This window comes from Homo sapiens, chromosome 17 (genome assembly GCF_000001405.40).
Source record: "Homo sapiens chromosome 17, GRCh38.p14 Primary Assembly".
Taxonomy (NCBI): domain Eukaryota; kingdom Metazoa; phylum Chordata; class Mammalia; order Primates; family Hominidae; genus Homo; species Homo sapiens.
Window position 1 is genome coordinate 35,897,979 of NC_000017.11, and position 18,657 is coordinate 35,916,635.

The window sequence follows — 18,657 nt, forward strand, 5'->3', positions numbered from 1 at the left end:
CCTAAGACACACTAGATGAAAGAAACAAGGAGGATAGAATGGCTTACATAGTATGCTACAATGTATGTGTGTTTAAAAAGAAGAGAGAGACTCATCTATGTTTGTAAATGCTTTTGGAGGCTGCATAAGAAATTGGCAACAATTCCCTTCCTGTTAGGAAGGGTAATGGGAGAGAGGCCTGGAGGACAGCGGTAGGAGGGAGACCTTCTTTTCCTTGTATACCACTTTGTATCTTTAGAATTTTGTATCATGTGCATATTTGATCTATTTCTAATAAGTCATGTGGTAGGGGGTTACCCAGGTATTGGAGGGAGAATTCCCATGGAGCTTCAGCCCGTCTTAGAGCTTCTTTTACCCCCTCAGGCCAGTAAGAGATTCAGGCTCTCTCAGCAGAGGTTGAGGTGCATGATTCACCCAGTGGCTCATTCCTGCCCCAGCCCCCTCACCCAACCCCTCACCCCACCCTTTACCACATCAGGGAAGTGGGCTTTTAGAATCATATTTTGACACCAAAAACAACCATACGTGCCCTCCCCCAAAAGAAGAAGAGTGATATTTCATCATCTCCGGGGAAGGAGTGGTAGACATTATCTCCTCTGATGGAGGGTATTTCATAGTGGAAACAGGATAGTCTTTGGAGTTGTACAAACTTTGGTTCAAATTCCAGCCTCTGCTGCTTATGCTGTAAAAGCTCAAGAAATTGCTGTGCTCTTGCTGGACTGTTTCCTCATCTATAAAATGAACTGACTTTCTACTGAGCCCACGTGACTGGTAAGGACCAGATAAGGTCATTGCATATGATGCCTGGCACATACTAGGTGCTCAGTAAATGGAAGTAGTTGTGCTCACAGTCACTGAGATCAGCTCAGCCTACTGGAGCCCTTTATCACAAAGGAAGGAGGAAACAGTAGTGGTTGGAATTGGACTCAGTTCAGCAAACACTGATGCCCTCTCTGGGCTTGGCCCCTTGCCCAGTAGAGGTAGAAAGGCACAGTGCCTCCTTGCCAGGGATGCACGTTGATCAGAACAGTCCGGGAGAGCCTCAAGTTTGCAGCTGCCTCTCTATAGTTCTGAGGTCTAGAGACAGTGTGGTCAGCCCAAAGGGGGCTGTTTCCAGGGCAGACTCAGCATTGGTGTTTGCAGTGGGGACTCTCTTGTCAGGGAACAGGCTGAGTTGGGAGTGAGAATCCTGGAGGTTGCTTCGTGAAGATGGTGTGTTGGACCAGTAGGGACCTCAGGAACAAGCTTCCCCAGCGTCGAGGGCTCCTGTCTCCTGGCTTGTCCCCTCCGCAGAGGCCCCTGCAGTACAATGGCCTTTCCTGCCACTTGGGAATTGATTTTGAAGATGGGGTTTGCCTGTCAGCTGCAGACACATATCTCTTTTCTCCCCTGATGGGCAGTGGCGGAGAGCATGGGCATTTAGAGGAAGCAGACCTGGGTCTGGGTTCTTGCTTGGCTGTTGATTCACTCAGTGGCCACGTTCCCTAACTTTGCTAAGCCTCAGTTTCTTTGTGAAATGGGTATAATAATATTACCTACTGCTTCATGTGAGGATTCAAAAAAATACCCCATTACAAAAATGTTTGTAGGCATTACACAACTATTTTAGCAAAGCTGCCTAACATTGAGCTGGCTGATCTAAAATGAGGGCAAAATTATTCTTAGGGAGGGAATTACTCTTAGGATTAGGGGGGAAAATACCTTAATGGGCATGTGTGATTATAAAAAGGGAAATCCCTCCATTCCATCCCGCCCCTACCTCATATTGCCTAGAGAGGGCTAACTCTGCGTAAGAAACAGGATTGGAAGTCATTCATGGTCAGTGTGAGATGGGGTAAGGATATGTGGTGGTGAGAGAGAAGAGGGGAGATGTGCAGGGATCTAGAACACAGTGGGCCAGATCCTGGGAATAAAATCAGGCCAGGGAGAGATTAATTTATTCTGTCAGGGAATGGCCAGTGGTTTTTTAAGGCAGGGATTTTTATGGCTGGTATCCAAATTCAAGTTCTCACCTGAATTATTCTGTGCTATATTCAATACCTATCTTGTGTGCAAATCTCCAGTAAACATGTTACAACCAATAGCCTTACATCGTGGTTGTTTTGGGGGAATGAAGAAATGAGGGCCCTGACCCTCGTGGGGTGAAGCAGCATGTGAAGAAATGGAGAATTCCGTGGAAGCTGGGAATCAGAGGAAGAGGTGCCATGATGTAACAGGAGCCTTCAGTTCTTGGGGATGTAGATGGGGTGAGTCTTGACTACTTGCAGTATCTGAGATGGAGAATGGGAATGACTTTTTGGATATTCTGGTGAGGTTCCGGATGCCCACATAGCAGAGGCTGCCAAATGGGCAGTTTAAAAAGGATAGAGGACATGCTGAGGCTCAGATCAGTGAGAACTGGGTGGGGCCCAGGCAGCAAGTGGCTGTGGGTTCTGGCCTCAGCAAGAGAACAGACCACAGGGTCCGCCAGCTGTGGCACTGGAGCATCAAGAGGGTCCCGGAGCAAGGTGAGATGAGCCATATGTCAACACGTCAGCTGCAGTCAGCAGAATGAGAACCATGCCCCACCCTCTGCATGACGCCCTGCATCCTGAAGCCACCCTGGGAGGTAAGAAACAGTCCTGACAAGGAGTTTGAACTTCACATTGGCCATGAATATTTACCTGAAGTGAAACTGCTTCATTTCAGAGGAGCTCATTTTCCTTAATTACCCTTGTTCAAATGTTTCTTCCACCATTGGTGAGAGTGGGTGCTCCAGTGTGAGCTCAGTTACTGAAAAATAGCAACTCTTTTCTGCACGTCCAAGTTGTAACATGTACATTTTTGACACTGCTACATGATTAATGATGAAGAACTACCCCCAGGGTCACATAAACACACAGTCCTCCAGCCATAAAACTTCCCTCTCATGTTGCAGACACACAGGCTGCTTTCTAGCCCCATCGCTGCAGACACTCTAACCACCCGTTTGTCTCGTCAAAATCCTGTCAGTGCTTCTGAAAACAGGAGAGAAACACTGACAGCTCACACCCTCACTTTTCTGTCCTGCAGCTGCTTTTTGATGGCTCCAACCCCTTAAGAAGGCTTAATTTCCCTGCAGGGACCAGCCAGGATATGCTCAGAAAGTAGGACATGGAATTGTTTTGTTAAAAAAAAAAAAAAAGTAGAAAAAAGAAAAGAAATGGAAAACATAGAGACAGTCTGAGTCACAGTGAGGCAGGGCGTGACCTAGACACACTGGGTATCAGGGTGGCTGGATTTTCTCTTTACTGTTCCATAGAATGTGGCCTTTCCCGTTCTGAAAAGTAAAAGATAATATTAGCTAATGTGTCCCTCGAGCCTTGTTGGGAAGATTAAAGAATTGAACGGTATTTGGCACATTGTAAACTTTCTCTCTCATCGTCTATACTTTTGCTCTTTCTTTTTCTTTCTCCATCTCTTCCACTTTCTCCATCAGTGACAAGTTGAATGATAGTACCATTAAAAATCCCCGCTGTGGCCGGGTGTGGTGGCTCACGCCTGTAATCCCAGCACTTTGGGAGGCCGAGGCGGGTGGATTACCTGAGGTCAGGAGTTTGAGACCAGCCTGGCCAACATGGTGAGATCACTTCTCTACTAAAAATATAAAAGTTAGCTGGGCGTGGTGGTGGGCACCTGTAATCCCAGCTACTTGGGAGGCTGAGACAGAAGAATCGCTTGAACCTGGGAGGCGGAGGTTGCAGTGAGCTGAGATCACGCCACTGCACTCCAGCCTGGGAGACAAAGCGAGACGCCGTCTCAAAAAAAAAAAAAAAATCCCCCTATGAGGAAATAGGAACTTTCCAGTTGGGAGGTGGGGCACATGGAAATAGGAGTTGTCATAACCCCACATTTTGGGCAGCCATGCCAAAAAGCAGTGTGGACTTTCTGCCTCCTTCATCTCCTGTTCTTTACAAATCAGCTCCACCACTTACTAGCTGCCTAATTCTGGGCAGCTGGTTGACGTTTCCAAGGCTGTTTTCTTATCGGAGATATGAGGATGATGCTATACACTACACAATGTGGCTATGATTAGGAATTGGCCTAAAATATGTAACATGGTACTTGGCAGATACTCCATAAATGTGGCTGTTTAAGCTAAAATGATGAAGCTCAACGGGTCAGGCTAACAATCTAGGAGTTGACTTTTCTTTCTTTCCCACCTTTCTTAGGTTGGCTCCTCCAGAAGCCGAACCTGAGAGAGGATTTGAGTGCAAGTATTTTTTTTCTCTTTCTTGAGACAGAGTCTCACTGTTACCTAGGCTGGAGTGCAGTGGTGTGATCTCAGCTCACTGTAACCTCTGTCTCCTGGGTTCAAGCAATTCTCGTGCCTCAGCCTTCTGAGTAGCTGGGATTATAGGCATGCACAACCATGCCCGGCTAATTTTTGTATGTTTAGTAGAGACGGGATTTCACCATGTTGGCCAGGCTGGTCTCGAACTCCCAGCCTCAGGTTATCCACCTGCCTCAGCCTCCCAAAGTGCTGGGATTACAGGCGTGAGCCACTGTGCCCGGCTGAGTGAAAGTAGTTTACTGAGAGGTGATCTCAGGAAGCTCCAGAAGGGAAATGGGGAAATGAAGTATACCTTATCTTATTTTAGCCTCAGATCAACCCTCTCTGGATATTGTTATTATTCTTTATATTCTATAGATGAATTAAGTGGTGGTTTTAAACATGTCCACAATTCTATATTTGTACCATCAAGTGGTGGAAAGTAGGTCCTCTGTTCTTGGATCTTTGCAACATTCTCAATACGTGGATCAGAATGATTCTCAACGCTAGATTAGAAAATGTTGCCCAGATGCTTGCTATTCTTTTTGAAATATTGGCTCAGGAAGCCTTTGAAGTGTAGCTACCCTGAGACTGCCATGCTGGAGAGACCATGTGGAGAGAGACAGAGAGAGAGAATTAATGTCTGACTGTAACTACCTGAGAGACCCCACACCAGAACCTCCCAGCCAACCCTTTCCTGCATTCCTAATCCACAAAAATTGTAAGAGATAAGAAATGGTTATTGTTTTAAGCTTAAAGTTCTGGGGTGATTTTTCTGTACAGAAGTTGATTACTGGAACATGATCTTGATGGGGTATGGAGCATGCTACCCCAAAATGTGGCACCTTGGCCTACTGATTATTTTAAGCTGAAAGAAACTGAGAAAACTACAGAAACAGGGAGGTCACTCTCTGACCTCCTCCCACCTTTCTCCCTTGAAGCAGGCTGTAAAAGAATTCTGATCTACCTCCTCTGAAAATAGGTCATAAGATCCTCATTCCAGAGAGGTCCTCCCCAACCCTGGAGGCCAAGAAGAATCTGAGCAAACAGGCCTTGATAAGTCTTCCCCTCCCTCAGTTTATTACCATTAGAATATACCCTTTTGTCTTCTAATCATACTTCTGCATGACTGTACATAAAAGTAGTTTTTCTTTAGTATTTGGATTTTCATTTCTGAAGTCTCTTGTTTTATGTAAAACTTACCATAAATAAATTTGTATGCTTTCTCTTGTTAATCTGTCTTGTTATAGGGGCCTCAGCCATGAAACTCGCGATGGGTGAGAAAAAGATATTATATTTCCTCCCCTACAATTTGTGCCCAGATTTTTCTGACTGCAGAGATCTCCTTCAATAACTCCTTATTTATTTATTTATTTATTTATTTATTTATTTATTTATTTTTATGTTTTGTGGCAGGGCCTTGCTTGTACCCCCGGCTGGAGTACAGTGGTGCAATCACAGCTCACTGTAGCCTCAACCTCCTGGGCACGAGTGGTCTTCCCACCTCAACTTCCTGAGTAGTTGGGACTACAGGCATGCGACACCATACCCAGCTAATTTTTGTATTTTTTATAGACACAGGGTTTCGTCATGTTGCCCAGACTGGTCTTAAACTCCTGGGCTCAAGCCATCTGCCCACCTCAGCCTCCCAAAGTACTGGGATTACAGGTGTGAGCCATCACACCTGGCCAATAACTCCTTATTTCATAAAAACTAAAATGCAGACTCCTTTGTATGGCATTCAAGTGTTGACAATTTGGCCCCAGACTACTTTTCAACCCAAACCCCAGCCATCCCAGCCTGCGACTTCATTGTGAAACGATAGAGGGGACCAAAAAAGCATGAGCTTTGAAGAGAGTGTGGTATTGTAGAGGAGAAAAAGTAGTTATCTTTTCCTCACCCATTGTTTCATGGATGACACCCTTATAACAAAAGACAGATTAACAAGAATAAAGCATAACAAATTTATTTAATTTTAAAAATCAAAGTCTTGCGTGACACTGGAACCTTCAGAAATGACACAGATACCCAGGGGAAAACTGCTGTTTTTTTATGCTTAGGTTTGATGAAGAATGGGCTGTAAACCAAAAATAAAATTTGAAGCCCTTCAGCCATCTGAATGGGCACCTCCTCTCGGCCAAGGGCATTCTAAAGTTAACCTGAAAAACTAGTTCAGGTCATGATCGGAAGGGGGGAGTCAGACACGCCTTGTTACCATTCACGTCAAAAAGATCTTAAGACTGATAGAACAGACTCTTGAAGTCTGATAAGAAATATTTAAAATCTACTCTCTCTGAAGCCTGATACCTGGAGGCTTCATCTGCATGATAACAGCTTGGTCTCCACAACCCCTTATGGTAACCTAGACATTCCTTTCTAATGATTCCAGGTTTTTAGGTAATAACTCAACCAATTGCCAATCAGAAAATCTTTGAATCCACCTATCTGGCCCTCCATCAAAAAAAAAAAAAAAGTCTTCAGTTATTCAAATAGTTGTTTTCCCATATGTATTGTGCCACTTTTCTCTCCTGCTTTCAAAATTCTCTCTTTTTTTGCTTTCAGCAGTTTGACTTTGATATGCCTAAGTATAGGTTTCTCTGAATCAATCCTATATGGGGTTTGCTGACCTTGAATTTGTAAATTCAAGCCTTTCAGAAAATTTGGGAAGTTTTCTGTAATTATTTCTTTATATTTTTCCCACTTCATTCTCTTTCCTCTGCTTCTTCACTTCAAGTGTCCGTATGTCGATGAAAAGAGTTGAACTGTAAAATATTTGAAGAGATTTATTCTGAGCCAAATATGAGTGACCATGGCCCATGACACAGCCCTCAGGAAGTCCTGAGAACATGTGTCCAGGGTGGTCAGGGCGTAGCTTCGTTTTATACATTTTAGAGAGGCATGAGACATCAATCACATACATTTAAGAAATACATTGGTTTGGTCCAGAAAGGTGGAACAACTCAAAGTGGAGTTGGGGGCTTTCAGGCTATAGGTGAATTTAAACATTTTCTGATTGACAATTAAGGTTGAGTTTGTCTCAAGACCTGGGATAGATAGAAAGGGAATGTTCAGGTTACGATAAAGATTGTGGAGACCAAAGTTCTTTTGAAGTCTTATAGTGGCTGCCCTTAGAGAAATAGGTGACAAATGTTTCCTATTCAGATCTTAGTGAATCTCTTTAGGATTGGGAGGTTCTAGAAGAAAAAGATCTAGCTATGTTAATAGAGATGCTTTACAGATACAAAATTTCTCCCACAAAGAGAAGCTTTGCAGGGCCATTCAAAAATATGGCAAAATAACATGTTTTGGGGTAAAATATTTTGATTTTCTTTGTCTTGCAATGTTATGACACGGTCAGGCTGGAAAGTAAATCATGATATATAGGGTTAAATAAGACCCATCTGATGAGAATTTACGATTTGTAGGGCATGACTCCTCAGACCCCTTAGATAGGAATTCAGGCAAGATAAAAAAATTAGTCCATACTTATGCTAGATCCTTTTTTTTTTTTTGAGATGGAGTCTCCCTCTGTCGCCCAGGCTGGAGTGCAGTGGCGCGATCTCGGCTCACTGCAAGCTCTGCCTCCCGGGTTCATGCCATTCTCCTGCCTCAGCCTCCTGAGTAGCTGGGACTACAGGCGCCTGCGACAACACCTGGCTAATTTTTTGTATTTTTAGTAGAGACGGGGTTTCACCATGTTAGCCAGGATGGTCTGGATCTCCTGACCTCATGATCTGCCTGCCTTGGCCTCCCAAAGTGCTGGGATTACAGGCGTGAGCCGCCATGCCCGGCCAATATTCACATATTTAACTGTGGTATTAGGCAAAGTTGAACTACTTCTGAATACGGAAGACACATCTAGAGATGAAAATACCATCTTACAATTAAACGAACTTACAATGTCTGAGGAGAGCTGAGTTGGAGATGGAGTCATGGGCTCTTGATAGATTTGGCGGAAGTTCATCATTTCCAGGGGTATTTAGCTGCTGAATGATAATCTTTTGCTGGTCTTTCAAATGTTTAAACTGCTCAGGGGATATTAAAGGCTGAGCTGGGGCCCTGTGTTGAGTTAAAACTTCCACCTGATAGGTGAACTCTGGAGTCATGGTAACCATGTGATCCACAGGCTTAACAATGACATGGTGAAATGTTGGAGGCTGAACTTCCTCATGACTTACAGGAGAAACTATTACTCTGTGATGCTCTGGAGGTTGAGCTACAACTTCATTAGGGAGCTCTGAAGGCTGAGCTGGGGCATCTTGCTGGGTTGGAGAAGACTCGACCTACTCAGGGGTCTGTGGATGCTCACCTGCAGCCTCCTACTGTATTGGAGAGGGGTTCTCATCTTTAGTAGGTTCTGGAGATTCAGCTGAAGTCTCCTGTTGAACTGGTAAAGGTCCAGTCTCTTCCGATGACTCTGTAGGCAGAGGCGGGGCCCCATGCTGGATGTCAGAATGTTCCACATCATTAACTGGCCCTGAGAGCTGAGCTGTAGCCTCCTGATGGACTGGCGAAGTTCCCACCTCTGCAGTAGGCTGTGTTGCTATGGTGAGCTGCATATTTGGAGGCTTAACAGTGACATTGGGCAAATCTCAGTGTTGAACTTGATGGTGACCAGGAGGTGGAACTGTTACTTGATGATGTTCTGGAGGCTGGGCTGGGGTCTCCTGCAGGCTAGAGAGGACTCAACTTCTCCAGAAAACCCAGAAGGCAGACCTGGCTGCTCCTGCTCACTGGGGAATGTTCAGCATTCACATGAGGACCTGGAGGCTCAGTTGTGGCCTCCTGTTGGGTTGCAGAAGGTTACACCTGCTCTGGATGCTGGTTTGGGGCCGCCTGCTGGGCTGGAGAAGAGTCAGTGTCCGTGGTAGGCTCTGAAGTTATGCTAATCTCTACATCTGCAGGTTTAACTGTAATGCTCGGCAAGGTATAATGAGCTTGATCCTCACCCTGAGTTTGAACTGTCACTTCATGATTCAGTGGAGTTTGAGCTACACTCTCTATAGAAGACTCTGGAGGCAGAGTTGGGGGTCTCCTGGGTCTGAGAAAATTCCACCTCCCCAGAAAACTCAGAAGGCTGAGCTGGCTGCTCCTGCTGACTGGGGGAAGGTTCAGCCTCCACAGGAGGACCTGGAGGCTCAGCTGGGGTCCCCTGCTGGGGGCAAAATATTTCATCTCCTCAGTGCACTCTGGTGTCTGAGCTGGGCCCTCTAATTGGGTTGAGGAAGAGTCCACCTCCCTGGGGTTCTCTGGAGGCTGAGCTGCAGCCTTGTCTACCAAATTTCAACCATACCTGTAATCATGACTTTGCCTAGACTGTACTCCCATTTGTTTTCTATTTAACAAATTATAGCTACACTTTAAGTCCCAAGTAAGTTTTAGCTTATTGATGTAGCTTTCCCTGATCTCCACACCTCAAGGATCACAGATTCTGGTGAATCCTAGCACCGATGGTCTGCATTATCTTGTAGTATTTCATTATATATACCTCCTTTTCATGCCTAGTCTCTTTCTTCCCTCCTATCATTTTCATTTCTGAAGACAGTATCATACTTGGCCAAGGGTTGACAGAAAACGACTGCTACAGATAGAAAGCCAGGGACAAAGATGCGTTCTGGACATAACTAAAGGACTGAGTAATCATGTTAGCAGCCAACACTCCCACATATGCTAGGCACCGATGTAAGCAATACATGTATGCACTCACTTAAATCTCACAACAATCCTATGGCATGGTAACTAGCATAATCCCCAGTTTAAAGACGAGGAAACTGAGTCACAGAGAAGAATAACTTGCTCAGGGTAACCAAGCTAATAAATGACAGACCTGGGTTCAAACCCAGGCAGCCTGGCTACAGAATCAACTCTTAACCACTTAGAGCATCATCACTGAGATGGGAAGAGGGACAGGCTGCTGTAAAGAGGGTGAAGTGAAAATGGGAGGAGAGCCGCTGTTAAGCAATGATGTGATGGGGCTAAAGGAAAGTGGATAAGAAAAGGGTTAAGAGCAATCACAAGTAAAAGACCAGAGAAGGGGCCTAACAGTAAAGGAGAACCAGGAGAAGGAAGAATTGACAAGAAAGGTGAAAGCAGAAAGTCCGTTGTCAGTTCGGTTTGGTGAGATAAAGGAGGCCCAGGAAGGCCTCCACGAAAAGGCTGTCATGTCAGGCAGGACACAGAACAATTGAGGAAAGACGATTCTCACAGGATGGTGAAGGTGTCATTGCAGGTGCTGGGCTCTGGTACAGGCACTTGGTGGAGCCTCTGCTTTGGGCTGAGATCAATACATGAGAGTGTTTCATCTCTGCAGGTATAGAGATCACATATGTTGGTGCTTGTAGAGGCCTTCGGTTCCTCCTGTGCAGTTAAAGCCTTATTTTGGGCATAACTTTCAGACTGCACCAGTGAATTCTGAGTAGGTTCTAGTTCAGAAGGTGAAATGTGTGACTTCAGTCAGGTTTCAATGCTGAGTCTGAACTTGGTCTGGATGTGGAGCTGTAGTCTTGTCCAGGCCTGTAGAATGTTCAGTCTCTATGGTGAGTTCTGGAACTATGGCAAATCCCAGGTCTGAAGGCTGAGTTGAGGTCTCCTCCATGGTTGGAGAAGTTTTAACCTCTGTAGTAGGTTCTGTAGTTATGGTAAGCTCCAGGTCCAAAGATTGAACTGTGAATTGAGTCAGGTTTGGATGCTGAGCCTGGTTCTTGTCTGGAGGTGGATGTGTCATTTCAGGATGCTTTGGAGGAGGAGCTGTAGTCATCGGGGCTGTAGAAGGGCAGAGCTTGATCTTGGCTTGGTGTTGGAATGGGTATCTGATAATAATACACAGGCGGTTGAGCTACAAACTCCTTAGGTAGCTCTGGAGGCCGAGTTGGGGTCTTCTGCATGGTTGGAGAAGGCTCAACCTCCATAGAGGATTCAACCTCCATAGAGTTAAGGTAAGTTTCAGACCCAAAGGTTGAACTGTGACTTGAATCAGGTTTGAATGTAGAGTCTGAACCTGGTGTGGATGTGGAAGTGTCATCTCAGGGTGCTTTGGAGGAACTGTAGTCTTTTTCAGGGGTGTAGAATGTTCAACCTCTGTAGTGGGTTCTGGAGTTATGGTAAGTCCACCAGGTCCAGAGGTTGAACTGTAACGCTAGGTGACATTGGATGCTGAGCTTGATCCTGACCCGGTGTTGGAACACTCACCTCTTGATATACTGGAGGTTGGGGTACAAATTCCTTAGGAGGCTGAGTTGGGGTCTCCTGCATGGTTGGAGAAAGTTCAATTTCTGTAGTGGATTCTGGAGTGATGATAAACCCCAGGTCCAAAGGTTGAAGTGTGACACTGGCCAGTGTTGAAAGCTGAGCTTGATCCTGACCTTGTGTTGGAATTGTCACCTCATAACGAGGTGGAAGTTGAGCTACAACCTCCGTAGGTGGTTCTGGAAGTTGATTTGAGTTCTCCATGGTTGGAGGAAATATATTCTCTGCAGTAGGTTGTGGAGTTGTGGTAAGTTTCAGATCCAAAGTTTAAACTGTGACCTCAGTTAGGTTTGTGTGCTGAGCCTGCACATGGTCTGGAGTTGCAAGAGTCACTTCAGGGTGTTTTGGAGGAACTGCAGTTTTTCTCAGGGTTGTCGAATGCTCAGCCTCCTTTGTGGATACTGGAGTTATAGTAAGCCCTAGGTCTAAAGGTTGAAATGTGACACTGGGTGACACTGGATACTGAGCCTGGTCCTGCCTTGCTGTTGAAATTATCATCTCATAATGCATTGGATGTTGAGCTGCAACCCGCTTAGGTGGCTCTGGAAGCTGACCTGGGACCATCTGCTGGCTTGAAAGTTCTATATTCTTGGGGGGCTCTGAAGCCTGAACTGTGGCCTCCTGCTGGTTTGGAGAAGGCTCTGCCTCCATAGGGGGTATGGAGTCTGAGCTGGAAAGTTTTGCTGAGTTAGAGAGGGTTCCACTTCCTGAGGGAGCTCTGGAGGCAAAGATGGGCTATCTGCTGGACTGGAGAGGGTTCTACCACAATAGAGGGCTCTGAAGACTGAGCAGGGACTGCCTGCTGGACTGGAGAGCATTCTACCTTTTTAAGTGGCTCTAAAAGCTGAGTTGGGGCCTGCTGTAGGACTGGAGATAGTTCAACCTTCTCAGGTGGCTCTGATGGCTGAGCTGGTATCTCCTGCTTTGGTGGAGGATTGACCTCTTTTGTGGACTTCAGAGGATGACCTGAGGCTTCCTGCTGGGTTGCAGATGGTTCAACCTCCTTAGCAGGCTCTGTTGGCTCAGCTGGAAACTCTTGCTGGACTGGAGAAGGTTCTACCTCCTTAGGGGGATTTGGAGTCTGAGCTGTAGCCTCTTGCTGGGCTGAAGATTCACTCTCTTCAGGAGACTCCAGAGGTAGGGAAGGGGAATCAGGCTGGGCTAGAGAAAAGTCAGCCTGCTCACTGGAAATAGGAGGGTTGTCCTGCTGGACTGGAGAAGGTTCAACCTCTATAGTGACTGCTGTAGGTATGGTAAACTCTATATCCACATTTTTAACTGTGATTTTAGGCAAAGTTGAATTATTTCTGAATATTGAAGACAGATCTTCAGGTGAAAAATTCCATCTCATCATTCAATGGACTTACAATGTCTGAGGAGAGCTGAGCTGGAGACCAAGTTGTGGGCTTTTGAGCAAGTGGAGAAAGTTCATCATTTTCAGGGGTAGTTAACTGCTGAATGATAATCTCTTGTGCATCTTTCAAATGGTTAAACTTCTCAGGGGACATTAAGGACTGAGCTTGATGGTGAGCTGGAGGTGAAACTGTTACCTCATAATGTTTTCAAGGCTGAGCTGGAATCTCCTGCTGGGCTGGAGAAAATTCAACCTCCCAGGAGACTCAGAAGGCTGAGCTGGCTGCTCATGCTCACCGGGAAAAGGATCAGTCTCCACAGGAGAACATGGAGGCTCAGTTGGGGCCTTCTCTTGGGTTGTGGAAGTTTCCACCTCCTCTGGAGGCTAGGTTGGGGCCTCCTGCTGGACTGGAGAAGATTCATTATCCTTGGCTCTCAAGTTATGCTAATCTCTACATCCACAGGCTTAACTGTAATGCTTGGCAAGGTATAATGAGCTCCATCCTCACCCTGACGTTAAATTGTCACCCATGATTCGGTGGAGTTTGAGCTGCACTCTCCATAGAAGACTCTGGAGGCTGAACTGGGGTCTTCTGCTGGGTCTGAGAAGGTTCAACCTCCCCAGGAAACTCAGAAGGCTGAGCTGGCTGCTGCTGCTTACTGGAGGAAGGTTCAGCTGCCACAGGAGGACCTGGAGGCTCAGCCGGAGTCCCTTGGTGGGTTGCTGCAGATTTAATCTCCTCAGGGTGCTCTGGTATCTGAGCTGGGGCCTCTAATTGGGTTGAGGAAGAGTCCACCTCCTTGGGTTTCTCTGGAGGCTGAGCTGTGGGTCGTTCTACTCAATTTCGACCATACCTGTAACCATGCCTTTGCCTAGACCGTACTCCTATTTTTTTCTTATTTAACAAATTATAGCTAATTTTTAAGCCCCAGGTAAAGTGTTAGTTTACTGATGCAGCTTCCCCTGACCTCCATAATTCAAGGATCACAGATTCTGGTGAATTCTAGCACTGATGGTCTGCATTATGTTTTAGTACTTTATTATTTACACCTCCATTTTTATGCTTATTCTTTTTCTTCTATCATTTTCATGTTCCAGAGACAGTGTCATACTTGTCCCTGGGTTGGACACAAAACGGGTGCTACATATAGAAAGTCAGGGACAAAGATGAGTTCTGAACATAACTAAAGAGCTAAGTAATCATGTTAACAGCCACCACTCTTACATATACTAGGCACTGATGCAAGTATTACAGGTATTCACTCACCTAAATTTCACAACAATCCTATGAAATGGTAACTAGAATAATCCCCAGTTTAAAGATGAGGAAATTGAGTCACAGAGAAAAATAACTTGTTCAGGGTAACCAAGCTAACAAATGACAGACCTGGGTTCAAACCCAGTAACCTGGCTTCAGAATCAACTCTTAACCACCTAGAGCACTATCACTGAGATGGAGAGACAGACTGCTGTAAAGAGGATGAAGTGCAAATAGGAGGACAGCAGCAGTGAAGCAAATGATGTGATGGGGCTAAAGAAAAATGGATAAGAAAAGGATTAAGAGCAATCACAAGTAAAAGACCAGGGAAGGGGCCTAACAGTAAAGGAGAATGAGGAGAAGGAAGAAATGACAGGCAAAGGCAGAAGCAGAAAGTCAGTTGTCCATGTGGTTTGGTGAGATAAAGAAGGCCCAGGAAGGCCTCCAGGAAAAAGCTGCTATATCAGGCAGGACACAGAGAACAATTGAGGAAAGGTGATTCTTACAAGATGGTGAAGATGCCATTGTAGGTGCTAGGCTCTGGCACAGGCACTTGGCGGAGCCTCTGCTTTGGGCTGATGTCAATACATGACAGCGTCTCATCTCCGCAGGTACAGAGATCACATATGTTGGTGCTTGTGGAGGCCTTCTGTTCCTCTTGTGCAGTTAAAGCCTTATTTTGGGTGTAACTTTCAGACTGAACCAATGAATCCTGAGTAGGTTCTAGTTGAAAGGTGGACCTCTGACTTCAGTCAGGTTTTGAAGCTGAGTCTGAACCTGGTCTGGACGTGAAGCTGCAGTCTTGTCCAGGGCTGTAGAATGTTCAATGTCTGTATGGGGTCTAGAGTTATGGCAAGCCCCAGGTCTGGAGGCTGAGTTGAGGTCTCCTCTGTGGTTGGAAAAGTTTCACCCCTGTAGTAGGTTCTGTATTTATGGTAAGTTCCAAGTCCAAAAGTTGAACTGTGACTTGGGTCTGGTTTGAATACTGAGCATTGACCTTTGTCTCGTGGTGGAAGTGTCACCTTAGGGTGCTTTGGCAGAGGAGCTGTAGTCATCATGGCTCTAGAAGGTTCAACCTTTGTAGTGAATTGTGGAGTAACGGTAAGCCCCAGATCCAAAGGTTGAACTGTGACACTGGGTGAGGTTGGATGATTAGCTTGATCCTGGCCTTCTGTTGGAAGAGACATCTCATAATAATACCCAGGAGGGTGAACTACAACCTGCTTAGGTAGCTCTGGAGGCTGAGTTGGGGTCTTATGCATGGTTGAAGAAGGCTCAACCTCCATAGAGGATTCTGGAGTTAAGGTAAGTTTCAGATCCAAAGGCTGAAATGTGACTTGAGTCAGGTTTGAATGCTAAGTCTGAACCTGGTGTGGATGTGGAAGTGTCACCTCAGGGTGCTTTGGAGGAACTATAGTCTTCTTCAGGGGTGTAGAATGTTCAACCTCTGAAGTGGGTTCTGGAGTTATGGTAAGTCCCAGGTCCAGAGGTTTAACTATAATGATGGGTGATATTCAATGCTGAGATTGATCCTGACCTGGTGTTGAAATTGTTACCTCTTGAAATACTGGAGGTTAAGGTGTAACTTCCTGAGGATGCTAAGTTGCGGCCTCCTGCATGGCTGGAGAAAGTTCAACCTTTGTAGTGGATTCTGGAGCGATGGTAAGCCCCAGGTCCAAAGGTTGAAGTGTGACACTGGCCAGTATTGAATGCGGAGCTTGATCCTGATCTTGTATTGGAACTGTCACCTCATAATGAGCTGGAGGTTGAGTTACAACCTCCATAGGTGGCTCTGGAAGCTGAGTTGAATTCTCCATGGTTGGAGAAAATATACTCTCTGTAGTAGGTTGTTGATTCGTGGTAAATTTCAGATCCAAAGGTTGCACTGTGGCCTCAGGTTTGTGTGCTGAGCCTGCACATGGTCTGAAGGTGGAAGGGTCACCTCAGGGTGTTTTGGAGGAGCTGTAGTCATCCTCAGCATTATAGAATGCTCAGCCTCCATAGTGGGTTCTGGAGTTATGGTAAGCTCCAGGTGTAAATGTTGAAATGTGACACTGGGTGATACCGGATACTGAGCTTGGTTTTGGCTTGCTGTTGGAATTGTCATCTCATAATGCTGGATACTGAGCTTGGTCCTGGCTTGCTGTTACAATTGTCATCTCATAATGCATTAGAGGTTGAGCTGCAACCCCCTTAGGGGGCTCTGGAAGCTGAGCTGGGACCATCTGCTGACTTGAAGGTTCTGCCTCCTTAGGAGGCTCTGGAGCCTGAACTGTGGCCTCCTGCTGAGCTGGAGAAGGTTCTGTCTCCATAGGGGGCTCTGGAGTCTGAGTTGGAACCTCCTGATGAGTCAGAGATGGTTCCACCTCCTGAGGGAGATTTGGAGGCAAAGATGGGGCCATCTGCTCTGTCGAAGAGGATTCTACCACCATAGGGGGCTCTGAAGACTGAGCAGGCACTGTCTACTGGACTGGAGAGCATTCTACCTCTTCAGGTGGCTCTAAAAGCTGAGTTGAGGCCTGCTGTAGGACTGAAGATGGTTTGACCTTCTCAGGTGGCTGATGGCTGAGCTGGTATCTCCAGCTATGGTGGACTGACCTCTGCAGTGGACTTTGGAGGATGACCTGAGGCTTCCTGCTGGGTTGCAGTGGTTCAACCTCCTTAGGGAGCTCTGGTGCCTCAGCTGGGGACTCTTGCTGGACTGGAGAAAATCCACCCCTTTAGGGGAATCTGGGGTCTGAGCTGTGGCCTCTTGCTGTGATGGAGATTCAATCTTTTCTGGAGAATCCAGAGGTGGGGAAGGGGTATCATGCTGGGTTGGAGAAAAGTCAGCCTACTCAGTGGGAATAGGAGGATTGTCCTGCTGGACTGGGGAAGGTTCAACCTCCATAGTGACTTCTGTAGGTATGGTGAGGTCCATATCCATATTTTTAAATGTGGTATTAGGGAAAGTTGAATTATTTCTGAATATTAAAGATAGATCTAGAGGTGAAAATACCATCTCATCATTCAATGACCTTACAAAGTCTGAGCTGGTGACTGAGTTGTGGGCTCTTGAGGGACTGGAGGAAGTTCATCATTTTCAGGGGTATTTAGCTGCTGAATAATCATTTCTTGCTGGTCTTTCAAATGCTGAAACTGCTAAGGGGACATTGAGGACTGAGCTGGGGCCCTGTGTTTGGTTAAAATTTCAACCTGTTAGGTGAACTCTGGAGTCATGGTTACCATGTGATCCACAGGTTTCACAGTGTCATTGTGCAATGTTGGAGGCTGAACTTGATCATGACTTAGAGAAACTGTTACCTCATGATGCACTGGAGATTAGCTATAACTTCAATAGGGATCTCTGAAGGCTGAGCTGGGGTCTATTGCTGTGTTGGAGAAGACTCAACCTCCTCAGGCATCTGTGGATACTCAGCAGCAGCCTTCTGCTGGGCTGGAGAGAGGTTCTCATCTTTAATAGCTGGAGATTGAACTGAAGTCTCCTGTTGAACTGGTAAAGTCATCTTCTGATGACTATGGAGGCAGAGTTGGGCCCCCGTGCTGGGTCATGGAAGGTTCCACATCATTAACTGCCCCTGAGAGCTAAGCTGTAGCCTCCTGGTGGATTGGAGAAGTTCCCACCTCTGCAGTAGGCTCTGTTGCTATGGTGAGCTGCATAACTGGAGGCTTAACAGTGACAATGGGCAAATCTGAATGCTGAGCTTTATGGTGACCTGGAGGTGAAACTTTTACTTCATGATGTTCTGGAGGCTGAGCTGGGGTCTCGTGCTGGGCTGGAGACGATTCAACCTCCCCTGAAGACTCAGAAGTCTGAGCTGTCTGTTCTTGCTCACTCGGGGGAGATTCATCCTCCACAGGACTTGGAGCCTCAGTTAAATCCTGTTGGTTTGCAGAAGTTTCCACTCCCTCTGGAGGCTGGGTTGGGACCTCCTGCTGGGCTGCAGAATATTTAGTCTCTTTGATAGGCTCTGAAGTTATGGTAATCTCTACATCCACAGGTTTAACTGTCATTTGTATAATGAGCTTGATCCTCACCCTGAGTTTGAACTGTCACCTCATAATTCAGTGCAGTTTGATATGCACTCTCCATAGAGAACTTTGGAGGCTGAGCGGTGGCCTCCTGCTGGGTCTGGGAAGGTTCAACCTCCCCAGGAAACTCAGAAGGCTGAGCTGGCTGTTCCTGCTCACTTGGAGAAGGTCTGGCCTCCATAGGAGGAACTGGAGGCTCAGCTGGGGTCCTGTGCTGGGTTGTAGATTTCATCTCCTCAGGGCACTCTGGTGTCTAAGCTGGGTCCTCTAATTGGGTTGAGGAAGGGTCCATCTTCTCAGGGTGCTCTGGAGGCTGAGTTGTGGCCTGTTCCCGGCTTGATGTAAGTTTCTTATCTGGCTTTGGACTTATTGTAAGCTCCAAATCCACAAGTTTGACTGTTACATTGGGCAAGTGTGAGTGATGAGCTTCACTCCAACTTTTTTTGTTTGTTTGAGATGGAGTCTCACTCTGTCGCC

The 18,657-nt window shown here is 46.2% G+C and overlaps 3 pseudogenes across 1 annotated transcript, besides 1 other annotated feature; all 3 read right to left on the reverse strand.

Annotated features, from left to right (window-relative positions):
• Positions 1–6,241: 6,241 nt before the first annotated feature.
• On the reverse strand, positions 6,242–13,045 carry LRRC37A8P (leucine rich repeat containing 37 member A8, pseudogene; annotated as a pseudogene). Its single transcript, NR_126038.1, has one exon. The product of NR_126038.1 is annotated as a leucine rich repeat containing 37 member A8, pseudogene (transcript).
• On the reverse strand, positions 14,655–15,955 carry LRRC37A9P (leucine rich repeat containing 37 member A9, pseudogene; annotated as a pseudogene).
• Positions 14,847–15,042: a silencer, noted in NCBI's record as "fragment chr17:34239829-34240024 (GRCh37/hg19 assembly coordinates)". NCBI's record gives its function as "represses an EF-1alpha promoter that drives an FKBP-Casp9 reporter gene in an ReSE screen in HepG2 liver carcinoma cells {active_cell/tissue: HepG2}" and the evidence as "EXISTENCE:reporter gene assay evidence [ECO:0000049][PMID:32094911]".
• On the reverse strand, positions 17,335–18,346 carry LOC100133244 (leucine rich repeat containing 37, member A3 pseudogene; annotated as a pseudogene).